Here is a 20,355-nt window from a genome sequence, read left to right as displayed (position 1 = left end):
CCTGATACTGCTGCAAACTTCTACAGCCTAGGCCACTGAGGCACCCAAAATTATTGCTGATATTGGCCATAGCTAGAGAAACTACACAGATACTATCACAATGCATCTATCAAAAACTGAGTTACCCACTCTTCGTCACCTGCACACAAACACTCAACTTCAGATAAAAGTCTTTCTCTATGAAATTCACTCTAGAGATTTTGGAATAGCAATTGTTCCATCACATGCATAGACATAAATTCAGAGACACAACATGAAAAATAAAGAAATATGGCACCACCAAAGGGACATAATAACTCTCAAATAACAGACCTCAATGAAAAAAAATCCACAAATATTCAAAAAAGGAATTCAAAATAATTACCTTAAAGAAACTCAATCAGGAGGGTGGCTGGCAAGATGACTGAATAAGAAAAGCTCCAGTCAGCAGCTCCCAGCGAGATCAATGAAGAAGGTAGGTGATTTCTACATTTCCAACTGAGGTACCTGGCTCATCTCACTGGGAATGTTTAGACAGTAGGTGCAGTGCATGGAGGCTAAACTGAAGCAGGGAGGAATGTTGTCTCACCTTGGAAGCCCAAGGGATTGGTGAACTCCCTCCCATAGCCAAGGAAAGCCTTGAGGGAATGTGCTGTGAAGAACGGTGCACTCTGGCCCAAATACTGCAGTTTTTCCATGGTCTTCACAACCCACAGACCAGAAGATTCCCTTCAGAGCCTACACCACCAGGGCCCTGGGTTTCAAGCACAAAACTGGGTGGTCATCTGGGCAGACACCAAGATAGCTGGAGGGGTTTTTTTATGCCCCAGTGGTGCTGTAACACCAGCAAGTCAGAACCATTCAGTCCCCTGGAAAGAGGACTGAAGCCAGGGAGCCAAGAGATCTAGCTCAGGGGATCTCACCCCCATGGAGCCCAGCAAGCTAAGATCCACTGGCTTGAACTTCTGTTTGCCAGCACAGCAGTCTGAAGTTGACTGGGGATGTTCGAGCTTGGGGGGGGTGGGGGGGTGAGGGGAGTCTGCCATTGTTGAGGCTTGAGTAGGTGGTTTTCCCCTCACAGTGTAAACAAAGCCTCCAGGAAGCTAGGACTAGGTGGAGTCCACTTCAGCTCCGCAAAGCCACTGTAGCCATACTGCCCCTCTAGTTTCCTACTCTCTGAGCAGTTGCATCTGTGAAAGACAGGCAACAGTCCCAGTCAGGGGCTTATAGATAAAACTCCCATCTCACTGTACTGAGAACCTGGAAGAAGGGGTGGCAGTGGGTGCAGCTTCGGCAGACTTAAATGTTCCTGCCTGCTGGCTCTAAAGAGAACAGCAGACCTCCCAGCAGGGGTCAACAGACACCTCATACAAAAGAGCTTTGGCTGGCATCTGGCAAGTGTCCCCCTAGGATGAAGCTTCCAGAGGAATAAACACACAGCAATCTTTGCTGTTCTGTGGCCTCCTCTGGTGATACCCAGTCAAACAAGGTTTGGAGTGGACCTCAAGCAAACTCCAGCAGACCTGCAGCAGAAGGGCCTCACTGTTAGGAAAAAAACTAGCAAACAGAAAGGAATAGCATCAACATCAACAAAAAGGATGTCCACGCAAAAAACCCATTCAAAGGTCACCAACATCAAAGACAAGAGGTAGATAAATCCACAAATATGAGAAAAAAAAAAACAGCACAAAAAGGCTGAAAATTTAAAAAACCAGAACATCTCTTCTCCTCCAAAGAATCACAACTCCTTGCCAGCAAGGGGACAAAACTGGACAGAGAAAGAATTTGATGAATTGACAGAAGTAGGCTTCAGAAGGTGTGTAATAACAAACTCCACTGAGCTAAAGGAGCATGTTCTAACCCATTGCAAAGAAGCTAAGAACCTTGAAAAAATGTTAGACGAATTGCTAACTAGAGAAGAACATGAGTGACCTGATGGAGCTGAAGAACACAGAATGAGAACTTTGTGAAGCATAAATAAATATCAATAGCCAAATTGATAAAGCAGAAGAAAGGATATCAGAGATTCAAGGTCAACTTAATGAAATAAAATGTGAAGAAAAAAGTTAAAAAATAAGAATAAAAAGAAATGAACATAGCCTCCAAGAAATGTGGCGCTATGTGAAAAGACCAAATCTACGTTTGATTGGTGTACCTGAAAGTGATGGGGAGAATGGAACCAAGTTGTAAAACATTCTTCAGGATATTATCCAGGAGAACTTCCACAATCTAGCAAGACAGACCAACATTCAAATTCAGGAAATACAGAAAACACCCACAATGATACTCCTCAAGAAGGGCAACCCCAAGACACATAATTGTCAGATTCACCAAGGTTAAAAGAAAGGAAAAATGTTAAGGGAAGCCAGAAAGAAAGGTCGGGTTACCACAAAGGGAAGCCCATCACCACAAGGGGATTTTGTCATCACCAAGCCTGCCTTACAAGAGCTCCTGAAGGAAACACTAAATATGGAAAGGATCAACTGGGAACAGCCACTGCAAAAACATACCAAATTTTGTAAAGACCGTCAACACTATAAAAAAAACTGCATCAACTAAAAGGCAAAATAATCAGCTAGCATCATAATGGCAGGATTAAATCCACACACAATATTAACCTTAAATGTAAACAGGCTAAATGCCCCAATTAAAAGACACAGACTGGCAAATTGGATAGAGTCAAGACCCATCAATGTGCTGTATTCAGGAGACCCATCTCACGTGAAAAGACACACATAGGCTCAAAATAAAGGGATGGAGGAATATTTACCAAGCAAATGGAAAGCAAAACAAAGCAGGGGTTGCAATCCTAGTCTCTGATAAAACGCACTTTAAACCAACAAAGATTAAAAAAAGGGGTGGTATCATATAATGTTAAAGGGATCAATGCAACGAGAACAGCTAACTATCCTAAATAGATACACACCCAATACAGGAGCACCCAGATTCATAAAGCAAGTTCTTAAAGACCTACAAAGAGGCTTAGGCTCCCACACAATAATAGATGGAGGCTTTAACACCCCACTGTCAATATTAGACAGATCAATGAGACAGAAGGTTAACTAGGATCTCCAGGACTTGAACTAAGCTCTGGACCAAGCGGGCATAATAGACATCTAAAGAACTCTCCACCCTAAATCAACAGAATATGCATTCTTCTCAGCACCACTTCACACTTATTCTAAAATTGACCACATAATTGGAAGTAAAACACCCATCAGCAAATACAAAAGAACAGAAATTAAAGCAAACAACCTATTAGACCACAGTGCCATCAAATTAAAACTCAGGATTAAGAAACTCACTCAAAACTGCACAACTACATGGAAACTGAACAACCTGCTCTGAATGACTACTGGGTAAATGACAAAATGAAGGCAAAATAAAGATGTTCTTTGAAACCAATGAGAACAAGGACACAGTGTACCAGAATCTCTAAGACACAGCTAAAGCAGTGTTTAGAGGGAAAATTATAGCACTAAATGTCCAGAGGAGAAAGCAGGAAAGATCTAAAATCAACACCCTAACAACACATTTAAAAGAACTAGAAAACCAAGAGCAAACAAATTCAAAACCTAGCAGAAGACAAAAAATAACTAAGATCAGAGCAGAATTGAAGGAGATAGAGACAGGAAAATCCCTTCAAAATATCAAAGAATACAGGAGCTAATTTTCTGAAAAGATTAACAAAATAGGCTGCTAGCCAGACTAATAAAGAAGAAAAGAAAGAAGAATCAAATAGAGAGAACAAAAAAATGATAAAGGGGATATCACCACTGATCCTACAGGAATACAAACTACCATCAGAGAATACTATAAACACCTCTATGCAAATAAACTAGAAAATCTAGAAGAAATGGATAAATTCCTAGACACACCCTCCCAAGACCAAACCAGGAAGAAGTCGAATCCGTGAAGAGACCAATAACAAGTTCTGAAATTGAGGCAGCAAGGAATAGCTCACCAAGCAAAAAAAAAGCCCAGGACCTGAAGGATTCACAGCCGAATTCTACCAGAGGTACAAAGAGGAGCTGGTACCATTCCTTCTGAAACTACTCCAAACAGTAGAAAAAGACGCACTCTTTCCTAACTCATTTTATAAGGGAAGAATCATCCTGATACCAAAACTTGGCAGACATAAAACAAAAAAAAGAAAATTTCAGGCCAATATCCCTGATGAACATCCATGCGAAAATCCTCAACAAAATACTGGTAAACTGAATCCAGCAGCACATCAAAAAGCTTATCCACCACGATCAAGTTGGCTTCATCCCTGGGATGCAAGCCTGGTTCAACATATGCAAATCAATAAATGTAGGCCGGGCGACGTGGCTCACACCTATAATTCCAGCACTTTGGGAGGCTGAGGTGGGTGGATCACAGGGTCAGGAGTTTGAGACCAGCCTGGCCAACATGGTGAAACTCAGTTTCTACTAAAGATACAAAAAATTAACCAGGCGTGGTGGGTTATTCTTTTGGGTTATTTATACCCAAAAGAATTGAAAGCAGCACATCAAAGAGATATTTTTTTACCCATATTCATAATAGCATTACTCAAAAAGTCAAAAGGTGAAAGTAATCCAAGTGCCCATCAACAGATAAATGGGTAAGCAAACTTGGTTTATACATACAACGGAATATTATTCACCCTTAGAAAGGAAGAAAAATCTGACACATGCAAAAACATGAATGAACCCTGAGAACATAACATTAGGCTAAGTGAAATAAACCAGTCACAAAAGGCAAATATGTAATGATTCCACTTTTATGAGGTACCCAGCATACTCGATTTTATAGAGACACAAAGTAGAATGTTGGTTGCCATGGGGTGGTGGAAGGGAGAAATGTAGAGTTATCATTTGAGGTGGGGGTGTGGTTCTACAACATTTCTTGTCGCATCATCCACGTCTCTGGACACTTCTCTTTGGGCAACCCATTCCCTTTGATTTCAGATAAATTTCAGGGCAAGTGATAAGGGAATGGGAATTTTAACTGCAGTTAGTCCACACAGTATCTGGCAGATAAGACTGACAAAGACCTCAAATAATGTGGTGGGCCACCTTTACAAGGCCCATCTTCTGCTCTTGTGTTACTATGGACACATTTCATGGAATTATTAATATGAATTAGTTTGCACAGTTGAGGAAATTATGTTACTTTCATTTTGTTTGTTGATTGCTTTGTTGGTAGAGACAGGGTTTTGCCATGTTACCCAGGCTAGTCTCGAACTCCTGAGCTCATCCAATCTGCCCACCTCAACCTCCCAAAGTGCTGGGATTACAGACATGATCTACAATGCCCGGCCAAGAGTTATTATTAAATGGGTATAAAGTTTCTGTTTTGCAAGATGAAAAGAATTCTACAGATGTATGGCAGTGACATTTGCACAACAATGTGAATGTAATTAATACCAAAATACTATGCACTTAAAATGATTAATACAGAAACTTTTATGTTATGTGTATTTTGCAACAATTTTTTACAAAATTAAAAAATTATAATAATAAACATTATAAAAATAAATCTCACAATAAGCAAGTGAGATTTATCCCAGAAATTCAAAAGTGGTTCAACAAGAAAGTCAATCAGTGCACTACACCATATCAGAATAAAAGAGAAAATCATGTTCATCTCATTAGATGCAGAAAAAAAAATTGACAACTTTTAATACCCATCATAACAAAAACACTCAGAAAACTATAAATGAAATAAAACTCCTTTATCATAATAAAGCATATTTATGAAAACTGCAAAGCTAAAGCATACTAAATTGTGAAAGACTAAAACTTGTAACTTAAAATCAGAAAGAAAAGAAAAAAAACAAGGATGTCCATTTTTACTACTATTAAACATAGTATTGGAAGTTCTAGCCAGAGCAATTAGGCAAGAAATAAAATAAAACACATTCAAATAGGAAAGGAAAAATTCAAATCATGTGTATTTGACTGAAACATGATTCTCTCTATATAGAAAAATCTCATGCAATACAGATAGAAAATAAGTAGAGCTAATAAATGATTTCAGCATAATTTCAGGGTACAAGATCAATGCAAAAATCAGTTGTCTCTCAGTGCTGGTGCTAGTGCCTGCCATTAGGGGACCTGTAGACAGGACTGCCCAGTCCAGTGACACCGATCTTTATCCCCCTGGGGCTCAGCAGGGAGCCCAGACTACTCTGAATTCCACAGATGAACAGATTATCTGAGGAAACAGAGAAGTTCCCCCAGAAAACAAGGATCAAGCTGTGCTATATCAAGTTGTCCTAGTCACAGCTGGCTTTTGCTCATAAGTGCCATCTACTGACATGTATGTCAAACTGCACAGGCCAATATAAAACTACCCACAGAAGTGAACACAGCTATAGAATCCAAGTCAAAGGCCCTACCCAACATACTTTATAGTCACATCCCATAGGAAGGGGAAGAGAAAAAGGAAAGAACAAAAATAGGGAGAGAAAAACAATTCTATCTGCACAAAAATAATTTCAAAAATCAGAAGCGGCAGCCTCTCCAAATAAGAAGAAACCAGCATAAGACTTCTGGCACCATGAAATGTCTGAATGTCGTAAAACCTCCAAAGGATCACATGAACTCCCCAGCAATGAACCCTAACCAAACTGGCAACTCAGAAATGACAGATAAACTATTCAAAATATGGACTGCAAGTAAGCTCAGTGATCCAAGGCAGGGTTGAAAATTAATGCAAACAAACTACTAAAGCAGTCCAGGAAATGGAGCGAGAAGTAAACATCTTAAAAAGAAATCAATCAAAGCTTCTGGAATTGAAAGAGTCACTTAAGGAATTTCAGAATTCAATTGAAGCGTTTATCAATAGACTGGACCAATTTCAGAGCTTGAACACCAGTCTTTTGAACTAACCAAGTCAGACAAAAATAAAGAAAAAATAATTTTAATAAATGAACAGTCTTCAAGAAATATCTGATTATTTAAAAGGAGTAAACCTAGGAATTATTGGCATTCCTGAGAGAGAAGAAAAAGTAAACAATCTAGAAAATACATTTGGGCTAATAAGTTGAGAAAATTTTCCCAAACTTGCTAGAAAGGTAGACATCCAAATACAATAAACCCAGGGAATATATGTGAGACACTATACAAAATTAACATCACCAAGGCATTTACTCACCAGGCTGTCCAAAGTCAAGGCTAAAAAATAATTTTAAAGGCAGCTAGAGAAAAAAATCAGATCACATACAAAGAGAACCTTGTCAAGCTAAAAGGATGCTCAGCCTATTTTCAACATTCATTTTAATAAAAATTACAAAAAAGAATTTTATATTTTGCCAAACTATGCTTCAAAATCAAGGAAGAAATACAATCTTGTCCAAACAAGTAACTACCAGGAAAATCTGTTACCATTAGACCAGCCTTATAAGAGATCATTAAGGGAGTTCTAAATATGGAAGTGAAAGAACAATACCTGCTACCACAAAACACACTTAAGTATATAGCCCACAGACTCTATAAAGCAATCACACAATAGAAACTACAAAACAACCAGCTAACAACTTCACAATAGAATCAAAACCTCATATATCAGTGTTAACATTGAAGATAAAGTCTAAATGCTCCACATAAAAGGCAAAGAGTAGGAAGTTGGATTAAAAATAAGACCCATCCTTCTACTGTCTTCAAGATTGCAAGGCCCATCTCCTACTAGTAGAAGTAGAAGACCCATCTCAGACCTAGAAGACCCAATTCAGACCTAGAAAACCCTAAAGAACTTTCCAAAAACTCCTGGAACTGACATACAACTTCAGTGAGATTTCAGTACACAAAATAAATATGCAAAAATCTGTAGCATTTTTAAACACCAAAAATGTTCATCCTGAAAGCCAATCAAGAACTCAATCCCATTTACAATAGCCACAAGAAAAAACCTAGGAATACAACTAACAAAGGGGGCAAAAAGGTCTCTACAAGGAGAGCTACAAAATACTGATGAACAAAATCATAGATGACACAAACAAATGGAAAAACAGTTCAGGCTTATGGATTGAAACAATCAATATCATTAAAATGGCTAGACTGCCCAAAGCTATCTACAGATTCAATGCTATTCCTATCAAACTACCAATATTATTTTATTCTAAAATTCATATGGAACCAAAGAAGAGCCCAAATCCAAAGCAATCCTAAACAAAAAGAACAGTGGGAAGCTTCACATTGACTTCAAACTATACTGTAAGCTACAGTAACCAAGAGAGCATGTAACTGGTACAAAACACAAATTGAACAGAAGTAGAGAAGCCAGAAATAAAGCCACACACCTATAGCCATCTGATCTTCAACAAAGTTGACAAAAAATAATCAATGAGGAAAGAATTCTCTATTTAGTAAATTGAATGAGGATAACTGACTAGCCATATGCAGAATGAAACTGAAACACTTCCTTGAACCATATACAATAATTAACTCGAAATGGATTAATGATCTAAATTTAAGACCTCAAACTATAAGAATCTGATGGAAAAATATCTATAAAATAACATTCTGGATACAGGCTTTAGCAAAGAACTTATGAATAACTCCTCAAAAGCAATTGTAACCAAAATGAATATTGACAAGTGGGACCTAATTAAAGAGCTTCTGCACAGCAAGAGAAACTATCAACAGAATAAACAGACAACCTACAGAATGGGACAAAATATTTGCAAACTGTGAATCCAACAATGTTTCAATAGCGAGAATCTATAAGGAAGTTAGACAATTCAACAAGTTAAAAAACAAGTAACCCCATTAAAAAGTGGGCAAAGGACATATGTCCTTCCAAAGAAGACACACACATGGCCAACAAGCATATGAGAAAACACTCAACATCACTAATCATCAGAGAAATGCAAATCAAAACCACAATGAGATATCATCTCATGCCAATCAAAATGGATATGATTAAAAAGCCAAAAAATAACAGATGTTGGTGAGACTGCAGAGAAAACAGAACACTTATATACTACTGGTGGGAATGTAAGTTAGTTCAGCCACTATGGAAACCAGTTTTGAGATTTCTCAAAGAACTAAAAGCAGAACTACCATTCGATGCAGCAATTCCACTACTGAGTATGTACCCAGAGGAAAACAAATTGTTCTACCAAAACGACACGTGCTAGTATGTCCATTCCTGCACTATTCACAATAGTAAAGACATAGAACCAACCAATCATGTGTCACATAAACAAAATGTGGTGTATATACACCATGAAATGCTATGCAGCCATTAAAAAAAATCATGTCTTTGCAGCAACATAGATGTAGCTGGAAGCCATTATCTTGAGGGAATTAATGCAGCAACAGAAATCCAAATACCACATGTTCTCATATAAAAGTGGGACACAAAGATGGAAAAAATACACAAGGAATTACTATAGAGGGTAGAGAGATATAAAGGCAAGGGCTGAAAAACTACCTATTGGGTACTAGTCTCACTACCTGTGTGATGGCATTATTTGTACCCTAAACTTCAGCATCACACAATATACCTATGTAAGACACATGAACGTGCACTTCAAAATAAAAGTTGAGAACATTTGGAGCCAAGATGGCTGAATAGGAACAGCTCCAGTCTACAGCTCCCAGCATGAGCGATGCAGAAGATGAATGATTTTTGCATTTCCAACTGAGGTACTGGGTTCATCTCACTGGGGATTGTGAGACAGTGGGTACAGGACAGTGGGTGCAGTGCATGGAGCCTGAGCTGAAGCAGGGTGAGGAATCACCTCACCTGGGAAGTGCAAGGGGTCAGAGAATTCCCTTTCTTAGCCAAGGACAGAAGGCATCTGGAAAATAAGGTCACTTCCACCCTAATACTGTGCTTTTCTGATGGTCTTAGCAAATGGCAAACCAGGAGATTATATCCCGTGCCTGGCTCAGAGGGTCTTATGCCCACTGAGGCTCACTCATTCCTAACACAGCAGTCTGAGATCAAACAGCAAGGCAGCAGCGAGGCTGGGTGAGGGGTGCCCCCCATTGCCAAAGCTTGAGTAGGTAAACAAAGCGGCTGGGAAGCTCGAACCAGGTGGAGCCCACCGCAGCTCAAGGAGGCCTGCCTGCCTCTGTAGACTCCACCTCTGGGGTCAGGGTATAGCCAAACAAAAGGCAGCAGAAAATTCTGCAGACTTAATTGTCCCAGTCTGACAGCTTTGGAGAGAATAGTGGTTCTCCCAGCACAAAGCTTGAGACCTGAGAATGGACAGACTGCCTCCTCAAGTGGGTCCCTGATCCCCTTGTAGCCTAACTGGGAGGCACCCCCCATTAGGGGCAGACTGACACCTCACAAGGCTGGGTACTCTTCTGAGACAAAACTTCCAGAGGAACGATCAGGCAGCAACATTTGCTGTTCACCAATATCCGCTGTTCTGCAGCCTCCGCTGCTGATACCCAGGCAAACAAGGTCTGCAGTGGACCTCTGGCAAACTCCAACAGACTGCAGCTGAGGGTCCTGACTGTTAGAAGGAAAGCTAACAAACAGAAAGGACATCCACACCAAAATCCCATCTGTATGTCACCATCATCAAAGACCAAAGGCAGATGAAACCACAAAGACAGGGAAAAAACAGCAGAAAAACTGAATATTCTAAAAATCAGAGTGCCTCTCCTCCTCCAAAGGAACACAGCTCCTCACCAGCAATGGAACAGAGTTGGATGGAGAATGACTTTGATGAGTTGAGAGAAGTCTTCAGACAATCAAACTAGTCTGAGCTAAAGGAGGAAGTTTGAACCTATGGCAAAGAAGTAAAAAACCTTGAAAAAAGATTATATGAATGGCTAACTAGAATAACCAATGCAGAGAAGTCCTTAAAGGACCTGATGGAGCTGAAAATCATGGCACAAGAACTACGTGATGAATGCATAAGCCTCTATAGCCGATTTGATCAACTGGAAGAAAGGGTATAAGTGATGGAAGATGAAATGAATGAAATGAAGTGAGAAGAGAAGTTTAGAGAAAAAAGAATAAAAAGAAACGAACACAGCCTCCAAGAAATATGGGCCTATGTGAAAAGACCAAATCTACATCTGATTGGTGTACCTGAAAGTGACGAGGAGAATGGAACCAAGTTGGAAAACACTCTGCAGGATACTATCCAGGAGAACTTCCCCAATCTAGCAAGGCAGGCCAACATTCAAATTCAGGAAATACAGAGAACACCACAAAGATACTCCTCGAGAAGAGCAGCTCCAAGACACATAATTGTCAGATTCACCAAAGTTGAAATGAAGGAAAAAATGTTAAGGGCAGCCAGAGAGAAAGGCCGGGTTACCCACAAAGGGAAGCCGATCAGATTAACAGCTGATCTCTCGGCAGAAACTCTACAAGCCAGAAGAGAGTGGGGGCCAATATTCAACATTCTTAAAGAAAAGAATTTTCAACCCAGAATTTCATATCCAGCCAAACTAAGCTTCATAAGTGAAGGAGAAACAAAATCCTTTACCCACAAGCAAATGCTGAGAGATTTTGTCACCACCAGACCTGCCCTAAAAGAGCTCCTGAAGGAAGCATTAAACATGGAAAGGAACAACTGGTACCACCCATGGCAAAAGCATGCCAAATTGTAAGATCATCAAGGCTAGGAAGAAACTGCATCAACTAATGAGCAAAATAACCAGCTAACATAATAATGACAGGACCAAATTCACACATAACAATATTAATGTTAAATGTAAATGGGTTAAATGCTCCAATTAAAAGACACAGAGTGGCAAATTGGATAAAGAGTCAAGACCCATCGGTGTGCTGTACACAGAAAACCCATCTCACATGCAGAGACTCACATAGGCTCACAATAAAGGGATGGAGAAAGATCTACCAAGCAAATGGAAAACAAAAAAAGGCAGAGGTTGCAATCCTACTCTATGATAAAACAGACTTTAAACCAACAAAGAACAAAAGGGACAAAGAAGGCCATTACATAAAGGTAAAGGGATCAATTCAACAAGAACAGCTAACTATCCTAAATATATATGCACCCAATAACGGAGCACCCAGATTAATAAAGCAAGTGCTTAGAGACCTACAAAGAGACTTAGACTCCCACACAATAATAATGGGAGACATTAACACCCCACTGTCAACATTAGACAGATCAACGAGAGAGAAAGTTAACAAGGATATCCAGGAATTGAACTCAGTTCTGCACCAAGCAGACCTAATAGACATCTGCAGAAGTCTCCACCCCAAATCAACAGAATATACATTCTTTTCGCCACACCACACCTATTCCAAAATTGACCACATAGTTGGAAGTAAAGCACACCTCAGCAAATGTAAAAGAACAGAAATTATAACAAGCTGTCTCTCAGACCATAGCACAATCAAACTAGAACTCAGGATTAAGAAACTCACTCAAAACATGGAATTTTTGCATTCCATGGAAACAATGGAAACTCAATTACATGGAAACAAAAAACCCTTCAAAAAATCAATGAATTTAGGAGCAGGTTTTTTAAAAGATCAACAAAATTGGTAGACTGTTAGCAAGACTAATAAAGAATAAAAGAGAGAAGAATCCAACACACGCAATAAAAAATGATGAAGGGGATATCATCACCGATCCCACAGAAATACAAACTACCATCAGAGAATACTATAAACACCTGTACAAAAATAAACTAGAAAATCTGGAAGAAATGGATAAATTCCTCGACAAATACACTCTCCCAAGATTAAACAAGGAAGAAGTTGAATCTCTGAATAGACCAATAACAGGCTCTGAAATTGAGGCAATAATTAATAGCTTACCAACCAAAAAAAGTCCAGAACCACACGGATTCACAGCCGAATTCTACCAGAGGTACAAGGAGGAGCTGGTACCATTCCTTCTGAAACTATTCCAATCAATAGAAAAAGGGAATACTCCCTAACTCATTTTATGAGGCCAGCATCATCCTGATACCAAAGCCGGGCAGAGACACAACAAAAAAAGAGAATTTTAGACCAATATCCCTGATGAACATCAATGCAAAAATCCTCAATAAAATACTGGCAAACCGAATCCAGCAGCACATCAAAAAGCTTATCCACCATGATCAAGTGGGCTTCATCCCTGGGATGCAAGGCTGGTACAACATAGGCAAATCAATAAATGTAATCCAGCATATAAACAGAATCAATGACAAGAACCACATGATTATCTCAATAGATACAGAAAAGGCCTTTGAGAAAATTCAACAGCTCTTCATGCTAAAAACTCTCAATAAATTAGGTATTGATGGGACGTATCTCAAAATAATAAGATCTATTTATGACAAACCCACAGCCAATATCATACTGAATGGACAAAAACTGGAAGTAATCCCTTTGAAAACTGGCACAAGTCAGGGATGCCCTCTCTCACCACTCCTATTCAACACAGTGTTGGAAGTTCTGGCCAGGGCAGTCAGGCAAGAGAAAGAAATAAAGGGTATTCAATAAGGAAAAGAGGAAGTCAAATTGTCCCTGTTTGCAGATGACATGATTGTATATCTAGAAAACCCCATCATCTCAGCCCAAAATCTCCTTAAGCTGATAAGCAACTTCAGCAAAGTCTCAGGATACAAAATCAATGTGCAAAAATCACAAGCATTCTTATACACCAATAACAGACAAACAGAGAGCCAAATCATGAGTGAACTCCCATTCATAATTGCTTCAAAGAGAATAAAATACCTAGGAATCCAACTTACAAGGGATGTGAATGACCTCTTCAAGGACAACTAGAGACCACTGTTCAATGAAATAAAAGAGGATACAAACAAATGGAAGAACATTCCATGCTCATGGGTAGGAAGAATCAATATCGTGAAAATGGCCATACTGCCCAAGGTAATTTATAGATTCAATACCATCCCCATCAAGCTACCAATGACTTTCTTCACAGATTTGGAAAAAACTACTTTAAAGTTCATATGGAACCAAAAAAGAGCCCGCATTGTCAAGTCAATCCTAAGCCAAAAGAACAAAGCTACCTGACTTCAAACTATACTAGAAGGCTACAGTAACCAAAACAGCATGGTACTGGTACCAAAACAGAGATGTAGACCAATGGAACAGAACAGAGCCCTCAGAAATAAGGCCACATATCTACAACTATCTGATCTTTGACAAACCTGACAAAAACAAGAAATGGGGAAAGGATTCACTATTTAATAAGTGGTGCTGGGAAAACTGGCTAGCCATATGTAGAAAGCTGAAACTGGATCCCTTCCTTACACCTTATACAAAAATTAATTCAAGATGGATTCAAGACTTACATGTTAGACTTAAAACCATAAAAACCCTAGAAGAAAACCTAGGCAATACTATTCAGGACATAGGCATGGGCAAGGACTTCTTGTCTCATACACCAAAAGCAATGGCAACAAAAGCCAAAATGACAAATGGGATCTAGTTAAACTAAAGAGCTTCTGCACAGCAAAAGAAACTACCATCAGAGTGAACAAGCAACCTACAGAATGGGAGAAAATTTTTGCAACCCTCTTGTCTGACAAAGGGCTAATATCCAGGATCTACAGAGAACTCAAACAAATTTACAAGATAAAAAACAAACAACCCCATCAAAAAGTGGGCAAAAGATATGAACAGACACTGCTCAAAAGAAGACATTTATGCAGCCAAAAAACACATGAAAAAATGCTCATCATCACTGGCCATCAGAGAAATGCAAATCAAAACCACAATGAGATACCATCTCACACCAGTTAGAATGGCGATCATTAAAAAGTCAGGAAACAAAAGGTGCTGGAGAGGATGTGGAGAAATAGGAACACTTTTACACTGTTGGTGGGACTGTAAACTAGTTCAACCATTGTGGAAGTCGGTGTGGTGATTCCTCAGGGATCTAGAACTAGAAATACCATTTGACCCAGCCATCCCATTACTGGGTATATACCCAAAGGATTATAAACCATGCTGCTGTAAAGACACATGCACACATATGTTTATTGTGGCACTATTCACAATAGCAACGACTTGGAACCAAGCCAAATGTCCAACAATGATAGACTGGATTAAGAAAATGTGGCACATATACACCATGGAATACTATGCAGCCATAAAAAATGATGAGTTCATGTCCTTTGTAGGGACATGGATGAAGCTGGAAACCATCACTCTCAGCAAACTATCTCAAGGACAAAAAACCAAACACCGCATGTTCTCACTCATAGGTGGGAATTGAACAATGAGAACACATGGTCACAGGAAGGGGAACATCACACTGGGGCCTGTTGTGGGGTGGCAGAGTGGGGAGGGATAGCATTAGGAGATATACCTAATGTAAATGACGAGTTCATGGATGCAGCACACCAACATGACACATGTATACATATGTAACAGACCTGCACATAGTGCACATGTACCCTAAAACTTAAAGTATAATAAAAATAAATAAATAAATAAATAAATAAAAGTTGAAATTTTTTTTAAAAGAAGGCATTTCATATGGTATCATTTTAAAATCCTCAATGGTCATAACTAAATAAAAAAATTTAAGATAAACTTGCCTTTTAAACTAAACCAGACCCTTGCAACAGAAGAAAAAAGAATATCTAATACCTACATAAATTGAAAACTATCTCATGTTCAGGGATTGGAAGACTTAATATCGTTAAGATGGCAGTACTCCTCAAAGTGATCTAAAAACTCAGGCAATCCCTACCACAATACCAATGGTCTTTTTTCCAGAAATGGGAAAGTTGATTGTTCAATTAATATGCAACTACATGGTGATGAAGCAGCTACGTTGTCTGGGATATACACCCTCAGGTTTGTCATCATGCCCCAGAAAAATTTAGGACACGGACACATCTGAGTGGGTTATGTAGCAGAAAGTTTAATAGAAGAAAGGAGAGAAAAAAGCAGCTTCTTGTGAAAGAGAGGGACATCGGAAAAGGGGGAAGGAGGTGGACCACAGCAGATTGCATAGGGAGGCTGGAGGAAGCAGTGTCTGATTTACGTATGGCCCAGAGATTGGTTTAATCAGGTGTGACATTTACATAGTGGGTGGGGAAGGAGCCGCCATTTTGAACTTGCCTGGTCACAGGTAGTTCTTTACTACCAGCTTTCACTCGTGCAAGTTTCCAGCTTCCTTGTGTATGTCTGCAGCTCGATTTTACAAGCTGCTCTTTGTTAGAAAATGATTTGGGGCTGCTTTCCAGTATAAAGAAAAACCTTACTGAGGACTCCCAAATGCTTACTATTTGCCTAAGTAATTTCTACTTAATTTCTGTATCAGTGAGTACTCAGTTTCCAACTTCAAACTTACTACAAACTGTAATAATCAAAACAGTGTGGTACTAGCATAAAGATAGACATCAAGACAAATGGAATAAAACTGAAATCACGAAATAAACCTAAAGATCTATGGCAAATTTACTTTCATCAAGGGTGCCTAGACCATTCAATCTGAGGAAAGAGTCTCTTCAACAAATGGTGATGAGACAACAGGACAGCGAAATGCAGAAGAATGAAGCTGAGATCTCCCTTACTTCACTCCAAATGAAAAATATAACTGAAAATGGATGGAAAAACTTAAATATAAGAGCTAAAACGATAAAACTCTTAGAATAAAATGTAGGGGTAAATCTTCATGACTTCATATTTGGCAATAGATTTATAAATTTGATACCAGAGTGGCAAAAGGAAAGATAGATAAACCAAACTTCATCAAAATTAAACTTTGTGCAGCAAGAATATAATTGAGAATGTGAAATGACAACCAACAGAATGGGAGGAAATATCTTCATATTATGTATATGTAGGAGTTTAATGTTTTGAATACATAAATCATTCTAACAGCTTAAAAAGAAAAATAAAGTCAACTTAATTTAAACAGAAAATGTACTTGAATGGCATTTATCCAAAGAAGATATACAAATGGGTAATAATATATTAAAAGAAGTTCAAAATCATTGGCCATTAAACACAAGTTAAAACCACAATGAGAGCTGGGCGCAGTGGCTCACACCTGTAATCCCAGCACTTAGGGAGGCCAAGATGGGCAGATCACCTGAGGTCAAGAGTTCGAGACCAGCCTGGCCAAAGTGGAGAAAACCCGTCTCTACCAAAAATATAACAATTAACCAGGTATGGTGACACATGCCTGTAATCCCAGCTACTCTGGGGGCTGAGGCAGGAGGATTGTGTAAACCCAGGAGGTGGAAGTTGCAGGGAGCTGAGATCATGCCACTGCACTCCAGCCTGGGTGACAGAGTAAGACTCTGTCTCTAAATAAATGAATAAATAAATAAAACCACAATGAGATAACACTCTATATTCACTAGGATGGCTTCAATAAATACAGAAAGTTACAAGTATTAGCAACTATGTGGAAAATAGAAATCCTTCTACATTGCTGGAAGGAATATAAAATGCCACATTCACTGTAGAAAAGATTGGCTCTTATATACAAGAAGATAAGCATAAAATTACCATTTGACCCAGCAATTCAACTCCTGAGAATATACCCAAGAATGATGAAAATATGCCCATAAAGAAACATACACAAATGATCAAAGCAAGATTATCTATAAGAGCCAAAGGTTGGAAACAATGCAAATGTCCATAAACAGATGAATAACAAATTGTGATATATGTGCATGGAAAAATAAAATATATTTCAGCGACAAAAAAGAATGAAGTACTGATACATGTTGCAACTTAGATGAGCCTCTAAAACATTATAAGTGAAAGGACTCAGACATAACAGGTTACATATGCTGTGAGTCCTTTATATATCCATAACAGGCAAATCCATAGAAACAGAAAGAAGATTAGAGGTAATTACATGATGGGTTGGAGGAATGGAGTGATTATTTAATGAATATGATATGTTTTTGTGAAGTAATAAAAACATTTTGAAACCAGAGAAAGCTGGTGGTTGTACAACATTGTGAATACACTAAATACCACTCAAGTCTACACTTTAAAATGGTTAATTGTATATTGTGTGAATTTCACTTCAATTTTAAAAATGGCATAATTCCCTGATCTACTGATTTAATGCAATCGTGTCAAAATCCCCATTGGCTCCTTTGAGAAAATTGACAAGTGTATTCTAAATTTCATATGAAGATTCAAGGGACCCAGAATAGTGAAAACGTATTGAAAAAGAACAACAAAGACTCACACTCCTTGATTTGATATAATAACTTGATATTAATACAATACTACAGTAATTAAGATGGTGCACTATAGGGATTACGACAGACATATAGATCAATGGAGTACAATTGAGAGCACACAGAAAAAAACCTTTCACACATTTATAGTCAATTGGATTTTGACAAGGTTGCCAAGGCAATTCAATAGGGGAAAAAATAGCGTTTTCAACAATGGTGCGATGACAACGGCATTGATGTTTACGCCTTATCTGATAGACACTAAATTCCAACTGTTATCTGTACAAATCATTTTTGTTCTCACTCAATAAAGGCTTCCTTTCCCTCTTCCATCCACCTACTCTTTCCCATCACCCACCTCTGCACCTCCATGTAGAGCATTCCAACCTATCTGAAACCCCTCCTCTGACTCTCACTGCAAATATTTTATGGCCTATTTCAATTTGCAGGAATGCAGGAAACCCACCTAGGTTAAGTCATTCTTTCCCATTCTCAAATAAACTGTGTGCAATAATGACACCCATCTTCATCACAGGGCATATTTTATGTTTTCATATTTGTCAGTAATTGATTCCATTTCACCTGGAATGTGCATTCTGTTTCTCCTTGGGTAGATTTATATATTTATACTTTAAGTTCTGGGATACATGTGCAGAACATGCAGGTTTTTTACGTAGGTATACACGCGCCATGGTGGTTTGCTGCACCCATCAACCTGTCATCCACATTAGGTATTTCTTCTAATGCTATCCCTCCCCAAGTCCCCCACCCCCTGACAGGCCCCGGTGTTGATGTTCCCCTCCATGTGTCCATGTGTTCTCATTGTTCAACTCCCATTAATGAGTTAGAACATACAATGTTTGGTTTTCTGTTCCTGTGTTAGTTTGCTGAGGATGATGGTTTCCAGCTTCACCCATATCCCTGCAGAGGACATGAACTCATCCTTTTTTATGGCAGCACTGTATTCCATGGTGTATATGTGCCACATTTTCTTTATCCAGACTGTCATTCATCAGCATTTGGGTTGGTCCCAAGTCTTTGCTATTGTGAATAGTACTGCAATAAACATACGTGCACATGTGTCTTTATAGTAGAATGATTTATAATCCTTTGGGTATATACCCAGTAACAGGATTACTGGGTCAAATGGTATTTCTTGTTCCAGATCCTTGAGGAATCAGCACACTGTCTTCCATAATGGTTGAACTAATTTACACTCCCACTAACGGTGTAAAAGCATTCCTATTTCTCCACATCTTCTCCAGCATCTGTTGTTTCCTGACTTTTTAATGATCACCATTCTAACTGGCATGAGATGGTACCTCATTGGGACTTTGATTTGCATTTCTCCAATGTCCCAGTGATTATGAACTTTTTGTTCTTTTTGCTTAGATTTTCTTGGCTATGTGGGCTCTTCTTTCGTTCCATATAAAATGTAAAGTAGATTTTTCTAGTTCTGTGAAGAAAGGCAATGATAGCTTGATGGGGATAGAATTGAATCTATAAATTACTTTGGGCAGTGGCCATTTTCATGATATTGATTCTTCCTATCCATGAGCATGGAATGTTTTTCCATTTGTTTGTGTCCTAGGTATTATATTCTCTTTGTAGCAATTGTGAGTGGGAGTTCACTCATTATTTGGCTGTCTGTCTATTATTGGTGTATAGAAATGGTTGTGATTTTTGCACATTGATTTTATAACCTGAGACTATACTGAAGTTGCTTATCAACTTGAGATTTTGGGCTGAGACAAAGGGGTTTTCTAAATATACAATCATGTCATCTGCGAATAGAGACAGTTTGACTTTCTCTCTTCCTATTTCAATACTTCATTTCTTTCTCTTGCCTGACTGCCCTGGCCAGAGCTTCCAATACTATGTTGAATAGGAGTGGTGAGAGAGGGCATCCTTGTCTTGTGCTGGTTTTCAAAGGGAATCCTTCCAGCTTCTGCCCATTCAATATGATATTGGCTGTGGGTTTGTCATAAACAGCTCTTACTATTTTGAGATATGTTCCATCATTACTTAGTTTATTGAGAATTCTTAGCATGAAGGGTATTGAACTTTATCAAAGGCCTTTTCTGCATCTATTGAGACAATCATGTGGTTTTTGTCATTGGTTCTTTTTATGTGATGGATTACATTTATTGATTTGCAAATATTGAAACAGCCTTGCATCTCAGGGATGAAGGCTACTTGATCATGGTGGATAAGCTTTTTGATGTGCTGCTGGATTTGGTTTGGCAGTATTTTGTTGTGGATTTTT

General features: G+C 38.7%; 1 protein-coding gene across 1 annotated transcript in view; it reads right to left on the bottom strand.

Annotated features, from left to right (window-relative positions):
- Positions 1–20,355, bottom strand: part of CYP2C9 (cytochrome P450 family 2 subfamily C member 9) — a 51,434-nt gene that overhangs the window by 19,807 nt on the left and 11,272 nt on the right. The gene's annotated exons all lie outside the window — the stretch shown is intronic.

The sequence above is a fragment of the Homo sapiens genome, chromosome 10 (genome assembly GCF_000001405.40).
Source record: "Homo sapiens chromosome 10, GRCh38.p14 Primary Assembly".
NCBI classification, from domain to species: Eukaryota; Metazoa; Chordata; class Mammalia; order Primates; family Hominidae; genus Homo; species Homo sapiens.
The sequence above is the reverse complement of the archived record's forward strand: the minus strand, read 5'-3'. Positions and strand labels throughout refer to the sequence as shown.